This window comes from Homo sapiens, chromosome 13 (assembly GCF_000001405.40).
Source record: "Homo sapiens chromosome 13, GRCh38.p14 Primary Assembly".
NCBI classification, from domain to species: Eukaryota; Metazoa; Chordata; class Mammalia; order Primates; family Hominidae; genus Homo; species Homo sapiens.
The window spans coordinates 54296355-54313582 of NC_000013.11; the positions used below are offsets into that span (position 1 = coordinate 54296355).

General features: G+C 37.2%; 1 non-coding gene across 1 annotated transcript, besides 1 other annotated feature; it reads right to left on the minus strand.

Annotated features, from left to right (window-relative positions):
• Window positions 10454–11023: an enhancer, noted in NCBI's record as "NANOG-H3K27ac hESC enhancer chr13:54880943-54881512 (GRCh37/hg19 assembly coordinates)". NCBI's record gives its function as "activates a minimal SCP1, AML or CMV promoter by ChIP-STARR-seq in naive H9 embryonic stem cells {active_cell/tissue: H9 hESC(naive)}" and the evidence as "EXISTENCE:reporter gene assay evidence [ECO:0000049][PMID:30033119]".
• MIR1297 (microRNA 1297) lies at window positions 15618–15694 on the minus strand. The gene has a single exon (NR_031628.1). It is a non-coding gene; the product is annotated as a microRNA 1297 (primary transcript).
• Between the last annotated feature and the right edge of the window lie 1534 nt (window positions 15695–17228).

The following is a 17228-nucleotide window of genomic DNA, read 5'->3' on the forward strand; positions in this document are numbered from 1 at the left end:
GATTCTCCTTTTGTGCAGAAAGGTAGTCCTTGCCAACCCCGTAGGAAGAAATATAATTATCCAGACTGAATTATTCTCCACTCTCTTCCTGCTGATGCCTTCCTTCATATGAACCCAAGAGAGGAGACTGGTTGATAGTGTTCATAAAATGCAAGGTAGAGAGCACAAGATTGGATCTACAGGAAGCAAAATGAGAGTACTCAGCATACATATTTAGTAAGCACCTGCATGACTTATTTAAATTTTATTACAACTCTTCATCATTTATTGAAAATTTGAACCTCAGCTTTCCAAGACCACATAGATAGTGACTAGTAGAACTAAGATTAAGATTTATATTTGTCTCATCCTAATACCTATGCTGCTTTTACTATGCTATACTCCACACGTGTATTCATGTGCCTTACATAGTCCCAAATACTTCCTTTGCAAATAAGTACGAATTTATTCTCAGACCTCACCCATAATGGCTTTACCTTAAGAAACTATTGAAACTTACTGGAAGCCACTAACTATACCAGGACTCTCCTTAGAATCGAACCATTCCAGAGCCCTGCTTTTGGTTTGCTTTCAGCTCCTACTTACAAAAATCTCAGTAACTCTCATCCTAAAAGCTACATTGTATGTTTCAATATTTGAATATTGAATGAATATTCGATATCGAATATTGAATGAATATTGAAACATTCCACTCTCTTTAACTTTTTGAAATAGTTTCGGTAGAATTGATATTAGCTCTTCTTTAAATGTTTTGATAGAATTCAGCAATAAAGACATCAAGTGCAGTGTTTTACTTTGATGGGAGATTGTTTGTTATTGTTTTAATCTTGTTGCCTGTTGGTGGTCTATTAAAGTTTTCTATTTCTTTATTATTCAATCTTGGTAAGTTGTATGTGTCCAGAAGTTTATCCCTTTCTTCTAGGTTTTCTAATTTGTTGACATATAGTTGTATTTGTAGTGGTTTGTTATAATCTTTTGTATTTCTGTTATATCAGTTGTAATGTTTCCTTTTCATCTCTGATTTTATTTGAGTTTTCTTTGTTTCTTAGTTAATCTTGCTAAAGGTTTGCTGATTTTGTTTATCTTCAAAAAACCAGCTCTTTGATATATTAATTTTTTGTGTGTTTTTTAAAAGTCTCTACTAGGTTTATTTCTGCTCTGATTTTGATTACATATTTATTTCACTTATTTAAGGTTTAGATTGTTCTTGTTTTGCTAGTTTCTTGAGGTATGTCACTAGGTAGTTTATTTGAGATCTTTCTACTTTTCTGATGTAGGCATTTATTGTTATAAATTTCCCTCTCAGATCTGCTTTTGCTGAATCCCATAGATTTTGGTATGTTCTATTTCCACTTTCATATGTCATAAGAAAATTTTCAATTTCTTTTTGATTTTTTCATTGATCCATTGGTCGTTTATGAGCACATTCTTTACTTTCCATGTATTTTTAGTTTTTAAATTTCCTCTTGTTATGGATTTCTAGTTTTATTCCATTTTTGCCAGAAAAGATGCTTGATATAATTTCAGTTTTTAAAAATTTATGCTGCCAGATGTGGTGGCTTATGCCTGTAATCCCAGCACTTTGAGAGGCTGAGGTGGGTGGATCACAAGGTCAAGGGATCGAGACCATCCTGGCCAAAATGGTGAAACCTCTTCTCTACTAAAAATAGAAAAAATTAGCCGAGCATGGTGGCAGGTGACTGTAGTCCCAGCTGCTCAGGAGGCTGAGGCAGGAGAATCACTTGAACCCGGGAGGCGGAGGTTGCAGTGAGCCAAGATGGTGCCACTGCACTCCAGCCTGGCGACAGAGCAAGACTCCTTCTCAAAAAAAAAAAAAAAAAATTACTAAGACTTGTTTTGTATCCCCATTAAATAAGGGCAAAGGACATGAAAAGGAACTTCTCAAAAGAAGATATACATGCAGCCAACAAACATAAGAAAAAAACTCAACATCACTTATCATTAGAGAAATGGAAATCAAAACCACAATGAGATACAATCTCAAACCCGTCAGAATGACTATTATTAAGAAATCATAAAATAACAAATGCTAGCAAGGTTGTGAGGAAAATGGAACATGTATACATTGATGGTGGGTATATAAATTAGTTTAGCCACTGTGGAAAGCAGTTTGGCAATTTCTCAAATAATTTAAAAGGAAACTAACATTTGACCCAGCAATGCCATCATTGGGTATCTATCCAAAGGAATATAAATTATTCTACCATAAAAACACATGCACATGTATGTTCATTGCAGTACTATTCACAATAATAATGACATGGAATCAACCTATATGCCCATCAACGAGGGACTGGATACAGAAAAGCTGGTACATATACATGATGGAATACTATGCAGCCATAAAAAATAAGGAAATTATACCCTTTGCAGAAACATGGATGGAGCTGGAGGCCATTATTCTGAGCAGAATTAGTGTAGAAAAAGAAAACCAAATACTGCATGTTCTCACTTGTAAGTGGGAGCTACACATTAAGTACATCTGAATACAAATAGGTAAACAACAAACACTGGGACCTACTTAAGGGTAGAGGTTGGGAGGAGGGTGAGGATCAAGAAACTACCTATTGGGTACTATGCTCAGTACCTCAGTGACAAAATAATCAGTACACCAAACCCCTACAAAGTGCAATTTACCCATGTAACAAACCTGCACATACACACCCTGAACCTAAAATAAAAGTTGAAAAGAAAAAAAAATACTTGTTTTGTAACCTAATATATAGTATATCATGGAGAATGTATCAGCAGCTGTTGGGTGAAATGTTCTGTAAATGACTGTTAGGTTCATTTGGACTACAGCAGAGTTTAACTGATGTTTATTTGTTAATTTTCTGTCTGGATGCTCTGTCCATTGCTGAAAGTAAGTTACTCAAGTTCCCTATTATTATTGTACTGCAGTAGATCTCTTTGTTTAGGTCTGTTAATATTTGCTGTATGTATTTACATGTTTCAGTACTGGGTATACATATATATATATAATTGTTATATTCTCCTGCTCGTATTGACCCCTTTGTCATTATGTAATGGCCTTCTTTGTCTTTTTAATTACTTTTTACTTAAAGTCTATTTGGTCTGATATAAATATAGCTACTTTTGTTATCTTTCCTTTTTTAATTGCATGCAATATATCTTTCCTTCTGTTCACTTTCAGTCTGTCTTTATAGATGTAGTGATTTCTTGTAGGCAGCACATAGTTGGGTCTTTAAAAAATACATTGAGTCATTCTATGTCTCTTAATTAGATATTTTAGTCCTTTTCCACTCAAGGTTATGACTAATAGGTGACAACTTACTACTGCCATTTTGTTGCTTGTTTCCTAGTTGTTTTGTAACTCTTGTCTTTTTTTTTTTTTTAATCTTTCTTACTGTCTTCCTTTGTGGTCAACTATTTTTCTTCTGTGGTATGTATTAATTTAATGCATTTTCATTTTAGGGCATCTGTTGTAGATTTTTGCTTTGTGATTACCGTGAGGCTTACCAAAACATCTTGTAGTTATAACAAGTTATTTTAAATTGATGACAATTTAACTTTGATTGTAAAAAGAATAAACAAACAAACAAAAGCTAAGAAACTCCAAACCTTAACTCTATTTAGACTCTTTAATGTCTAAATTTACATGTTTTTATATTACCTATGTCTTAACAAATTGTTGTAGTTATTGTTTTCAATAGTTTTATCTTTTAGTCTTTATACTAAAGATATGAGTGGTTTATAAACCACAATTGCAATGTTAGAATACTATAAATTTTTCTGTATATTTCCTTTATCAGGGTGTTTTAGACCTTCAGATGTTTTCTTATTGTGCATTATCATCCTTTTTTTCAGATTGAAGAATTCTCTTTAGCATTTCTTGTAAGACAAGTCTGGTGTGATGAATTTCTTCAACTTTTATCTGTGAATGTGTTTATCTCTGTATTATGTTTGAAGTATATCTCTGCTGGGTACAGTATTATCAGATGGCAGTTTTATTTCCTTCATTACTTTAAATATGTCATCCTACTCCCTCCTAGCCTCTAAAGTTTTCACTAAAAAGCCTACTGCCAGATGTATCAGAGTGCCTTTAAATGTTATTTGCTTCTTTTCTCTTGCTGTATTTAGGATTATCTCTTTGTCTTTAACCTTTGAGAATTTGATTATTGTATGCTTGGAGTAATCTTACTGGGTTCAATCTACTTGATGACTTTCTGATCTTTAAGCTTGCTGTACCAGATATTTATATCTTTCTCAAGGTTTGGAATGTTTTTCATTATTATTGACCTGAAAACATTCCTACTGCTTTATCTTTCTCTGTTCCCTCTTGGAGACCAGTGACTTTCACATTTGCTCTTTTGATTCTATCCCATAGAGAATTCTTTGCTACTTTTCATTCTTCTTTTTTATTAAATTTTCTCTTCTGACCATGTATTTTCAAATAGCCTGTCTTTGGGCCCACTTATCCTTTCTTTTGCTTAATTCTGCTGTTGTGACTTTTTAATGCATTTTCACTTTTTTCCACTGTACTTTATAGTTTCAAAATTTGTTTGATTGTCCATTATTTTAATCTCTGTTAAATTTCTCTAGTAAATATTTGAGTTGCTTCTCTGTTCTCTTAAAATTTGTTGAGTTTTCTCAAAACAGCTGTTTTGAATTCCTTTTCTGTAAGGTCATACATTTTCATATTTTCAGGTAAGTCACTGGTATCATATTGAGTTCACTTGGTGAGATTATATTTTCCTGAACGTTCTAGATGCTTGTGGATGTATGTCGATGTCTAGATATTGAAAAATTAGGCATTTCTTCTAATTTTTGCAGTCTGGCCTTGTTTGTATCTGCCCCTCTTCTGAGGGCCTTGTAGAAATTTAAAGGAGAGTGACTACTAAATTCCCCAAGCCTGTGGTCACTGCATACATTTTAACACTAGAGAGCACCCTAAATCCTGGTTCACTGCAAATACCTTTCAGATTCCTAGGTCTTCACTCCTAGTGGATTTGGAGAAGATCAGGGAGAGTTTTCTGAGTTTCCAAGCAAAGTTCCACATTCACTTCCCTCTCCTTCCTACAAACATAAAAAGTCTTTGTGCTGCATTGCCTGGAGTTGGGGGGAAGAGTAATGCAAGCATCCTTATGTTTACTGCAGCTGGCACCATGCTGTGTTGCACTTGAAGTCTTCCCACACCAGCATCACACCAGGGCTCACCCAAGGCCCGTATCTGCTACTACCTGACTGCCGTTGACATTTATTCAGGACCCAAGGCCACTTTAGTCAGCTTGTGGCAAAGCCAGTCAGGACTGGGTTCATCCTACCAAGGTAGCAGATTCCCTTCTGGCCCAGGGTGATTCTAGAAGTTCTGTCCATGGGCACCAGCCTGGAATCAGAAGACACATGATGCCATGTTTTACCTTGGCTGGGCCTATACTGGGTTCCAAGGCAAAGTCCCATGCAAACTTTTCTCTCCGTCTCCCAAACGGGTGGATTTTCTCTCCATACTGCACTGCTTGGAGTTTGTGGATGGATCATATAAGCAATGTGCGATAGTACATTCTCTTCGATGTTCCTTTTATTGTTATTATGTCAAAATCAAATACTGTGATCTCTCTCCTGATTTCTTTACTCTTGTGAATATTTTTTGCATAGATAGTTGTGCAATTTGTTGTTCCTGTGTGGTGATGATTACCGAAAGGCTCTATTCCACCATCTTGTTCCACCTCCTTCAAGGAGTGTTGATTATATAGATTATTGCCCTGTTTATGGACTGTTTATTTTTCTCTTGGTATAATACTTGTTTTACATATTTTTTCAAAAGATGTTGATTTCAGTGGAGTACTAAGCATTGGAAAAGAGAGCAAGAAAAGGGGAGAGAAAGAGGAAAAGACAGAGAAAAGTGGTCGAGAGATAGAAGATAGAGAGAAAAAAAGTATTTCTAGGTTTCAGTACATAACACAAATTTATTGCCTAATTTATTTATTATTGAAAATGTATTATTAAATTGAATGAGCAGAGCACATGAGTTGCTATTGCTGGAGGCAACCATAAGTCACATTTTGACAGGTTACATGTATTTAATGCAACCATTTATTTTTTATACATGAGAAATGAATACTTTCTTTAGTAATTGCCAAATCGTAGACTTCCAGAAATTCACAGCATCTTTTTAAGGAAAATACATTTACCAAAATGTCATGGGAATTTATTCATATTTCAAAGCAAATTCAGAGGAAATATGTAGAATAGCTTCCTTTTTTCCAAAGGGTGACATTGACGGATAACTTGCATTTTGCTGTATTTTTTTAGCATATTTTACAATTTTTAAATGTTTTGTATATTTCAATAAAATATACTAGATGTAAAAGAGGCTATGTATGGACAGTATAAGGCTATTATGCAGCAATAAGATAAATACTTTTGTTTTTTTTTTTTTCCCCCTTTTATGTTGGGGTGAGAGGAGACGGGATAAATCTATTCATTTGGCTTCACAATTTTTGGAAGATATTTGATAAAGCCAAGAGACTTGTCTTTGTAGCATTTAACTGTGTTTTATGAGACTCATCAGTTAACAATTCACCAGAAATATATAGCACAAACAGTTTACCAAAAGTGAGTAATCTAAAACCAAAAGTGAAAAATAAATTTACTTTCTGGAATGCCAGTGTTTCTAGGGACAAGAAGGTAATCCACAGGTAAATGTAATAATCCAGGTATGTTTTAGTGTTATAATCTGAATTAGGGGGATAGGGTAATGTACAATATAACAAATTCTGAGAAAAACAAATCCAGTGAAATAATTATATTTTATCTTTGGTAGTCTTTAATCCCATAATACAAACTCTCAACATTCAGTACCTCAGGGAATAAATTACTCTTTTGTCTTTGTCATTTAGGTAAGAGAGTGGAATTTTGATTGGAGTAACATATAACAAATCAAGACGTTAGATTGAAATAGTCTAATAAATGTATTTTCCCCTAAATTTATAGTTTCAAAAGCTATTTGAAAGTTGTAAACTTTTTTTCAGAGTTATTAGGAATACTTGGCTGAGCTTTACTGAACACGAGTCTTTCCACTCATTTTTATGCCTATCAATAGGCCAAGTATATCTCATACAATGGCTTTGACAGTGGATTCAAATACATTTTAAAACATAATATGTCCTCCCTATGTAACTTTTCACTCTTATCATAAAATTTTATACTGCATTGTTAATTTTTTTTCTGTTAAAGACTTGTAGGCATTATAACTCATTTTCTTAACTATCTCTAAATCTTCTAGATAGAATAATTAAAGCAAATGCACAGTGGTTACTTAGGTAGAATAGAAATGAGTCACAAAGATATAATTGAATTTCTTTTATATCCATTGTGTTTTCTTTCCATGCTAGGCATGGTTCTATACACAAAGATCTCAAAAATATCCATCAGAGTTTTCCAAATGTAACTCAGTTACTCATCAGGACTGATAGAGTGGCTCCATTTACAGTTCAGGGCATTTTTTTTTTTTTTGAAAAGTAAAAATAAGCAAAACAAAACAAAAATCCTTTCACAATCCTCAAAGCTAGCTTCATTGGTCATTTATTCATTCACTAATTTTAGCAAGTATAATTGAACATATACAATATACTCCTACATGCTGAGGAAGCAAACAGAATCTCCTCTTGTAGGCATTTATATATAAACAAGAAACCATAACCCCATAAATATAACTGTGGGATTTTTTTGTTTGGTTGGTTGGTTGGTTTGGTGGTTTTTTGTTTCTTTCTGCTTTTGTTTCTTCAGAGACAGAGTCTAGCTGTCGCCCAGGCTGGAGTGCAGTAGTGCAATCTTGGCTCACTGCAACCTCTGCCTCCCGGGTTCAAGTGCTTCTCATGTCTCAGCCTCCCAAGTAGCTAGGATTATAGGAACACACCACCATGCCCTGATCATTTTTTTGTATATTTTATGGAGATGGGGCTTTGCCATTTTGCCCAGGCTGGTTGGGAACTACTGAGATCAAGCAATCTTGGCCTCTCAAAGTGGTGTGATTACAGGCATGAGCCGCCTCACCTGGCCAATAATATACATTTTTATGTTATAAAAGAGGTATAGTAAACATAGAGATATATGGATCATTTTAAAATGAAACATTTATTTTTACAAGAAAGGTCAGAGAAGTCTGAAATCTGGACAGGCAGAGGTGAGGAAGAGCTAGAATGTAAGGGGAAGGATCTTCATGGCAGACGGGAGGCAGGACTAGATTGCAGCTCCAGACAGAGCCGTATGCGGGGGCTCACATTGTGAATTTTAGCTCCAGGTCGACTGCAACAACAAACCAGCAATCCTGAGAGGACCCACAGACCCTCTGAATGAAGCAGACTGCTCCTACAAGACCCGGGAGACCTCCCCAAACTTGTGAGTACCCCAACCGTGGAAGCAGGAAAGGAAGATCCTTCTCTCCTGAACACACACTCCCACTGGAAAAGCTGAAGGTTTGTTTACAGGAGAAGTTTCCGACGTTACCTGGAGCTGAGTCAATTTGGAGAGCCAAATGAAATACAGGGATAGAGGAAGCAGCAGAAAGGCCGTAGGATCTTGATGGATCCCCTAGCAGGCCATTCCTGCCTGGCACCACAGGGATGCAATGGGAGAGAAGCACAGGGTAAAAGTACACAGGGAGAAGGAAAGCTCTAGCTGAACTTTGTAACAATTTGTACCGCCTGAGAAGCTTCCTGGCCAGAACTTGGGGGAGGGTGCAAATCCCTTGTGCAGACTCCACAGGCAGAGGAAGAACCAAACCCTTTTCTTTCACAGCTGGGAGGTGGGTAACCTGGGGCAGTTTTCAGATCCTTATTCCTATCCGCCTGGAGACAGACTAGGGCTGTTGCAGGTGGCACAATGGGAGTGAGACTAGCACTTCAGTTTACATGGGAGCTGGGTGAGGCCTGTGACTGCTGGCTTTCCCCCACTTCCCTGACAACCTGCATGACTTAGCAGAGGCAGCCATAATCCTCCTAGGTACACAACTCCAGAGTCCTGGGAATCTCACCCCCATCCCCCACAGCAGCCCCAGTAGGACCTGCACAAGGAAAGTCTGAGCTCAAACAGGCCTAGCTCTGCCACCACCTGATGGTCCTTCCCTACCCACTCTAGTAGCTGAAGACAAAGGGCATATAATTTGGGGAGTTCTAGGGCCCTGCCCAATACTGGTTCCTCCCCATACTACCACAGCTGATGCTCTCTGGAAAGCGCCACCTCCTGGCAGGAGGCCAACCAGCACAAAAACAGAGCATTGAACCACCAAAGCTAAAAACCCTCACTGAGTCCATTTTATGCCCCCACCACCTCCACTGGAACAGGCACTGGTATCCACAGCTGAGAGACACATAGACAGTTCACATCACAGAACTCTGTGCAGACAAGCCCCAGTACCAGCCAGAACCAGGTAGACTTGCCAGGTGGTTAGACCCAGAAGAGAGACAGCAATCACTGCAGTTTGGATCACAGGCAGCCACATCCATAGGAAAAGGGGGCGAGTACTACATCAGAGGAACACCATGTGAAACAAAAGAATCTGAACAACAGCCTTCAGCCCTAGACTGTCATTCTGACAAAGCCTACTCAAATGAGAAGGAACCAGAAAATCAACCTTGGTAATATGACAAAACAAGCTCTTCAGTGCTGCCCAAAAATCATATTACTTCACCAGCAATGGATCCAAACCAAGAAGAAATCCCTGATTTACCTGAAAATGAATTCAGGAGGTTAGTTATTAAGCTAATCAAGGAGGGACCAGATAAAGATGAAGCCCAGTGCAAGGAAATCCAAAAAAAATGATACAAGAAGTAAAGGGAGAAATACTCAAGGAAATAGACAACTTAAATAAAAACACTAAAAAATTCAGGAAACTTCGGACACACTTTTAGAAATGCAAAATGCTCTGGAAAGTCTCAGCAAAGGAACAAGTAGAAGAAAGAAATTCAGAGCTCAAAGACAAAGTCTTTTAGTTAACCCAATCCAATAAAGGCAAAGAAAAAAGAATAAGAAAATATGAACAAATCCTCCAAGAAGTCTGGGATTATGTTAAACTACCAAACCTAAGAATAATCAGTGCTCCTAAGAAAGAAGAGAATTTGAAAAGCTTGGAAAACGTATTTGGGGAAATAATCAAGGAAAACTTCCTCGGACTTGCTAGAGACGTAGACATCCAAATAGGAGAAGCAAAAAGAACATCCGGGAAATTCATTGCAAAAAGATCTTCACCTAGGCACATTGTCATCAGGTTATGCAAAGACGAAGGAAAGAATCTTAAGAGTTGTGAGAGAGAAGCACCAGGTTACTTATAAAGGAAAACCTGTCAGATTAACAGTAGATTTCTCAGCAGAAACCCTACGGTCTAGAAGGGATTGAAGCCCTATCTTCAGCCTCCTCAAACAAGACAATTATCAGCCAAGTATTTTGTATCTAGCAAAACTAAGAATCATCTGTGAAGGAAAAATACAATATTTTTCAGACAAACAAATGTTAAGATAATTTGCCATTACCAAGCCACCACTACAAGAATTGCTAAAAGAAGCTCTAAATCTTGAAATAAATCCTGGAAACACATCAAAATAGAACCTCTTTAAAACACAAACGCAAGTTAAAGAGAAAAAAAAAAAAACACACAAAGTACACAGGCAACAAAGAACACAATGAATGCAATGGCACCTCACATTTCAATGCTAACACCGAATGTAAATGGCCTAAATGCTCCACTTAAATGATACAGAATTGCAGAATGGATAAGGACTCACCAACCAGCCATCTGCTACCTTCAGGAGACTCACCGAACACATAAGCACTCACATAAGCTTAAAGTAAAGGGCTGGAAAAAGGCATTTTATGCAAATGGACACCAAAAGCGAGAGAGCGGGGTTGTTATTCTTCTATCAGATAAAACAAAAAAGACAAGGAGGGAAGCTATATAATGCTAAAAGGCCTTGTCTAACAGGAAAATATCACAATTCTAAACATATATGCACCTAAAACTGGAGCTTCAAAATTTATAAAACAATTACTAATAGACCTAAGAAATGAGATAGACAGCAACACAATAATAGTGGGGGACTTCAATACTCCACTGACAGCACTAGACAGGTTATCAACACAGCAAGTCAACAAAGAAACAATGGATTTAAACTATACCTTGGAACAAATGGACTTAACAGATATATACACAACATATCATCCAACAACCACAGAATACACATACTATTCAACAGCACAAGAAACTTTCTCCAAGATAGACCATATGATAGGCCATAAAATGAGCCTCAGTAAACTTAAAAATTATATGAAGCACTCTCTCAGACCACAGTGGAATAAAACTGGAAATCAACTCCAGCAGGAACCTTCAAAACCATGCAAACACAAGGAAATTAAATAACCTGTTTCTGAATGAGCATTGGGTTAAAAACATAATCAAGATGGAAATTAAAAAATTAAATGACACAACCTATCAAAACCTCTGGGATACAGCAACTGCAGTGACCTGGATGAGATTGGAGACTATTATTCTAAGTGAAGTAATTCAGCAATGGAAAACCAAACATCAATGTTCTCACTGATATGTGGGAGCTAAACTATGAGGACACAAAGGCATAAGAATGATACAATGGCCTTTGGGGACTTGGAGGGAAGAGCGGAACAGGGGCAAGGGATAAAAGACTGCAAATATGGCCGGGCGTGGTAGCTCATACCTGTAATCCCAGCACTTTGGGAGGCCGAGGCAGATGGATCATGAGGTCAGGAGATCAAGACCATCCTGGCCAACATGGTGAAACCCCATCTCTACTAAAAATACAAAAATTAGCTGGGCATGGTGGTGGGTACCCATAATCCCAGCTACTTGGAAGGCTGAGGTGGGAGAATCGCTTGAACCTGGGAGGCTGAGATTGCAGTGAACTGAGATCACGCCACTGCACTCCAGCCTGAGGACAGAGCGAGACTCTGTCTCAAAAAAAAAAAAAAAAAAAAGACTGCAAATATGGTGCAGTGTTTACTGCTTGGGCGATGGGTGCACCAAAACCTCACAAATCACCCCTAAAGAACTTACTCGTGTAACCAAATACCATCTGTAACACAATAACTTCTAGAGTTTTTTTTTAAATTTAAATTAAAAAAAGAACGTAAGGAGAAGAAAGATGTTTCAGGCAGATGTAATAAGGCGAGGAAAGGCACAAAAGCTAAAATATATATGTGGGGGGGAAATGAAGAAAAATATAGAGGGATGTACCTTTACATTTTATGATATAGCTTGGTTATTGGTAGCTTTGAATTTGATGTTAAACAAGAAATGGCTTGAATCTAATCTGGCTACCTATGAAAAGCTATAAAAATAATAATAACAAAAAGCATTCCTTTCTTCACAGCCCTGGATGGTGTGTTATTTTGTTTTGTTTAGCCAAAGGGGAAAATCAAGCACAATTGAATTTAACAAGTCTTTATTAAGAACTTACAAGGGGCAGCACTCTATTAAGCTTATAGAACACATAAGCAGAAGGAATAAGACTAACACAGTGACACAGCAGCACCAGGCCAAAAGAGAAAGGGGGTCCAGGGAGGAGGCCCTGCATGATTATGCCTGGTCAAGTGTTCACTGTCATCTAGTCTGCAGCTTTGGTAGTAAACAGCAAAAACAATACAGTTATGTCAATATATTATTTTCTTATTGTATAAGTACATATATACTTGTGCATGTATTTGTGTTACATTTTATCTCATCCATTATATTTGGTGCCTCTAGAGCTGTGAATTAAACTCCGTAAGTATTACAGTGTTAAGGAACAGTAAGTTACCCAGGTTGACTCTATCAGGATTTGCTATTTCAGTGTTGATACTCAGAAAGGTACCCAGATGAGTGTTACTCATACTTTCCAAACATTTCTGTGTAACAGATTCATTCAAGGTTCTCACCTGAATACCCTGGGTTTTCATTTAGCATACCTTTAGCAGAGGACTCTGGAGAAACTGCTGAAGGTAGTGTGTAGACCATAATATAAGAACACAATTATATAAACTCTGTGTAGTAGGCAAACCCCCATTATTTTGTAATGAATAATCTATCCATTCAGGAAAATAAAATAAATAAAATAAAATGGTTTATTTATATTATTGCAAGTTAAAAAGGTTAACGTTAGTGATTTCTATCTATAATTCTTCTTTTATCTTACACATTATTTCTAAGATGATAAATAAGTTTCATCTTATGTGCCACTAATAATGAGTTCTGGGAGTACTGGCTTGTGAATATTTCTAGGGCTAATCAAGTCGACACTCTAGAGGGAAAAACCTTATGGTCAATAAGCAATGACTGCAATAAATGGCAGAAGTGGAAGTATGCAGTAGGACCAAAGTCTGTGCATACTCACTTTCCTGAGATGTGCTTTACATTGCTTTACTTTTAGCATATTTCTTTTTTTGTTTTCTGAAATTTGGTGACTTATTTTTTTCTTTTTTTCAGGGTTGATGTTTTCTTATTTTTAAAAACATATTTATTTAAATTGACATATTAAATTTTATATATTTATCATGTACAACATAACACTTTGAAGTATGTATACATTGTGGAATGGTTAAATTGAGCTAATAAACATATGCATTACCTTACACAGCTATTTTGTGTGTGTAGTGAGAATACTTAAAATCTACTCTCAGCAATCTTCAAGAATACAATTCATTGTCACCATATTGTGCAACAGGTCTCTTGAACTTATTCCTCTCATTTAACTAAATTTATTTTTTCTTTGCTTAGAAACTTGTTTACCCACCACTTGGACTAATTGTTCAAATCTTCCCTGATGGGGACACAGCCATCTGCATGCAGACTGCCTCCCACCAAGTCCAAGAGCCCCTTCTCTCGCAAAAGGGCTCTCTCTCCACTCACTCTAACACATCAGAGCTGTTCTGTCCCTTCTCTGTTTTTTAAAATTCTTAGCTATCTTGAAGTCACCTTTTTTCCCTTCTCCTCTCCCTGTAATAATTCTAGTTCCATCTAAGGACTATATCAAGTAGTAGTTTCTGGCTTGTTTCCCCAGTGGAATGGTGAATTATTCAGAATTATTATTATTCAGAATTATTTACATGTAAAACAGCATAATGATGTATTTCTAATCTCTACTGTGCCAACACAGTAGAGAGTAAACAGCAAGCTATAAAAAATTGGAAGACAAAGATAACTAAATATATTTTATTTTGGTAATAATGCACTAAAATGTGTAACTTTTTGTTGTTTCCCATTTGAAAACAGTTTACATCAGTACTGGAATGTAATTTGGTAAGCATTAAAAACTCAGTTTATAAGTAATTCTTTAATATTAAACAGTGTTTTTTAGTATCAATTCTACCATAGTATAAAATTATATATTATATGTTTCATATTAGTGTGTATCTGTAGGTATACACATTATACCACACACACATAAATACACTGCAATAAGGAATACTGGATGGAAATTGTGATTATAATAATGCCAGAAATGTTAACCCAACTCTTGCTAAATGCTGTTACATATTAAAGAAGAGAAATGAGAGAAAGAAGGAGAGAAAGAGGAAAGGAAGGAGAGAGGGAGGGAGGCAGGGAGAAAGGAAAGAGGATATCCAAAAAGTTAACTAAGTTTATCCCTAGGTCTCCAAAATCAACATTAAGTGCCTAGTCACATAGTGCCTCATGCGTGTCCGTGTGAAAAGACCACCAAACAGGCTTTGTGTGAGCAACAAGGCTGTTTATTTCACCTGGGTGCAGGCAGGCTGAGTCTGAAAAGAGAGTCAGCAAAGGGTGGTGGGATTATCGTTGGTTCTTATAAGTTTTGGGATAGGCGGTGGAGTTAAGAGCAATGTTTTGGGGGCGGGGGTGGATCTCACAAAGTGCATCCTCAAGGATAAGGAGAATTACAAAGAAACTTTGTAAGGGTGGGGGAGATTAGGGTGGGGCAGAAACCAACCACAATGGTGGAATGTCATCAGTTAAGGCTATTTTCACTTCTGTGGATCTTCAGTTGCTTCAGGCCATCTGGATATATACGTGCGGGTCACTGGGGATATGATGGCTTAGCTTGGGCTCAGAGGCCTGACACATAGAAGTTTAGTTTGATACCTATAAAATCTGTGTTCTCTTTAACCTTTTGAAACACTTGCTAATGAATCACAAAGATAAAAGTCTTTCAAATGTATACACTGAAAACCTATGTAACACTGACAAAATGAAAGTTCTTTAGTCTCTCCCCACCTTTAAATCGAAGAAGTCACTGAGTGAGGATTTAGACTTAAAAGCAATTGTGACTTGCCTATGACTTGCTTGTTATGATGTCACCTTTACCCAAGATTTACTTTGGAACCTATGATTCATTCTGGCATTTTTACATGTCTTTTAATTGTCAAAGTTCAGACTTGGGTTTTTGGTATCTCTAAACTTATCATCGCTAAGAGTCCTTTGTAATAGTCTTTCAAAATTAATGAATCAAATGCTGGTGAGCACATGAATTTCTGAAGCATATATTTTTTTAAAGCCAGGCTTTAAAAGTCAAGGGTGATAAGAAAGAGGATCAAGTAAGTGCTACAGCCAATAATCCAACTCACTCTTCAGTGCTTCTGAATTTAAAATTAGAAGTGTTTCACTACACCTGAATTACTTGAATTACTTTGGCTCAGATAAGTAATTCTAATAGATCAACCCTAGAGATAAACACCTAACTTTAAAATTAGACTCACTGAAATGTCTGCTCTCCTCAAAATATCATTTTACAGGTTGAAGATGTTGTCCTATGAAAATCTAAGATGAGAAACACATTATGTATGATACATTACATGCAACATATAAACTTGACTCACTTCTCAACATTTCACATTTTTGTGTATTTATACAGTTAAAATACAATTCAATGGACTCCTCATTATACTTGTATAACTCTAAAGGGAAATAGTAGAAATAACAGTTATTGTAGTGTTATGCTACTGAAAAAAACTAGTTAGCTTAGGTCAAAGGATAGAAAAATGGAATGGTAAGCAATTACTGAATCATTAAAAGAAAGGAAGAGCTAGATTCCATGAAGCAAGAGATCAAAGGAATAAAACTCAAGCAGAGGTAAATTCATTGCTAGCTCTATTCCCCTTAATGCAATAAAACAAATGAAGAATCAGTTAAGTAGAGAGTACTTTCCATTATATCCAACATACTAATCATTTCTACCCTTCAATGGCTTGTCAAATTTCCATAAGTAAAAAGCATTATTAATATAGAAGTACAGTACATGACCATATTTTTCCTTAGGGATCATGCAATTTCAGAAATTATTAGAGATGGGAGTTAACATTCCTACCTACTCCAGCAAATACCCTTGGGTAGAATGCAAAAGTAAAAAGTGATGTAAATAAACATGGAAGAGCAAATCAGATAAACATGGGGTAAAATGGATATGTAGAGATACTCTACTATAATTTATCAAATCTGTTGTTAATCTATTGAAAAATCTGGGTATGTCATCTTCAAATTGACTACAAAACATGATTGTATTTTCCAAATGGTTAGAAGTAGACACTATTGAAAGGTGACAACGTGTTAGCAGCCCTGGCTCGCTCTTGGCGCTTCCTACGCCTTAACATCCACTCTGGCTGCGCTCCAGGAGCCCTTCAGCCCGCCGCTGCACCATGTGGGCCCCTCTCTGGGGCTGGCCAAGGCCAGAGCCGGCTCCCTCTGTTCCTGGGGAGGTGTGGAGGGAAAGGTGCAGGCGGGAGCCAGGGCTGCATGTGGTGCTCGCGGGCCAACACAGGTTCCCGGTGGGTGCAGGCTCCACGAGCCCCACTCTCAGTGCGTCCTGCCGGTGCCTGCTGGGCTAGATCAGGGAATGAGCTTGCTCTGGGCTGCCAGAGTGCCCGGGCTAGGTGCAGAAAAGTCCTGCAGTGAGTGACAGTGAGAGGTGAAGCCAGCTGGGCTTCTGGAACAGGTAGGGACTTGGAGAACTTTTGTGTCTAGCTAAAAAATTGTAAATGCACCTATCAGCGCTCTGTGTCTAGCTAATGGAGTGGGGACTTGGAGAACTTTTGTGTCTAGGTAAAGGATTGTAAATGCACCAATCAGCACACTCTATCTAGCTAAAGGTTTGTAAACGCACCAATCAGCACTCTGTGTCTAGCTAATCAGGTGGGGGCATGGAGAACTTTTGTGACTAGCTAAAGGACTGAAAACGCACCAATGAGCACTCTGTGTTTAGCTAAAGGTTTGT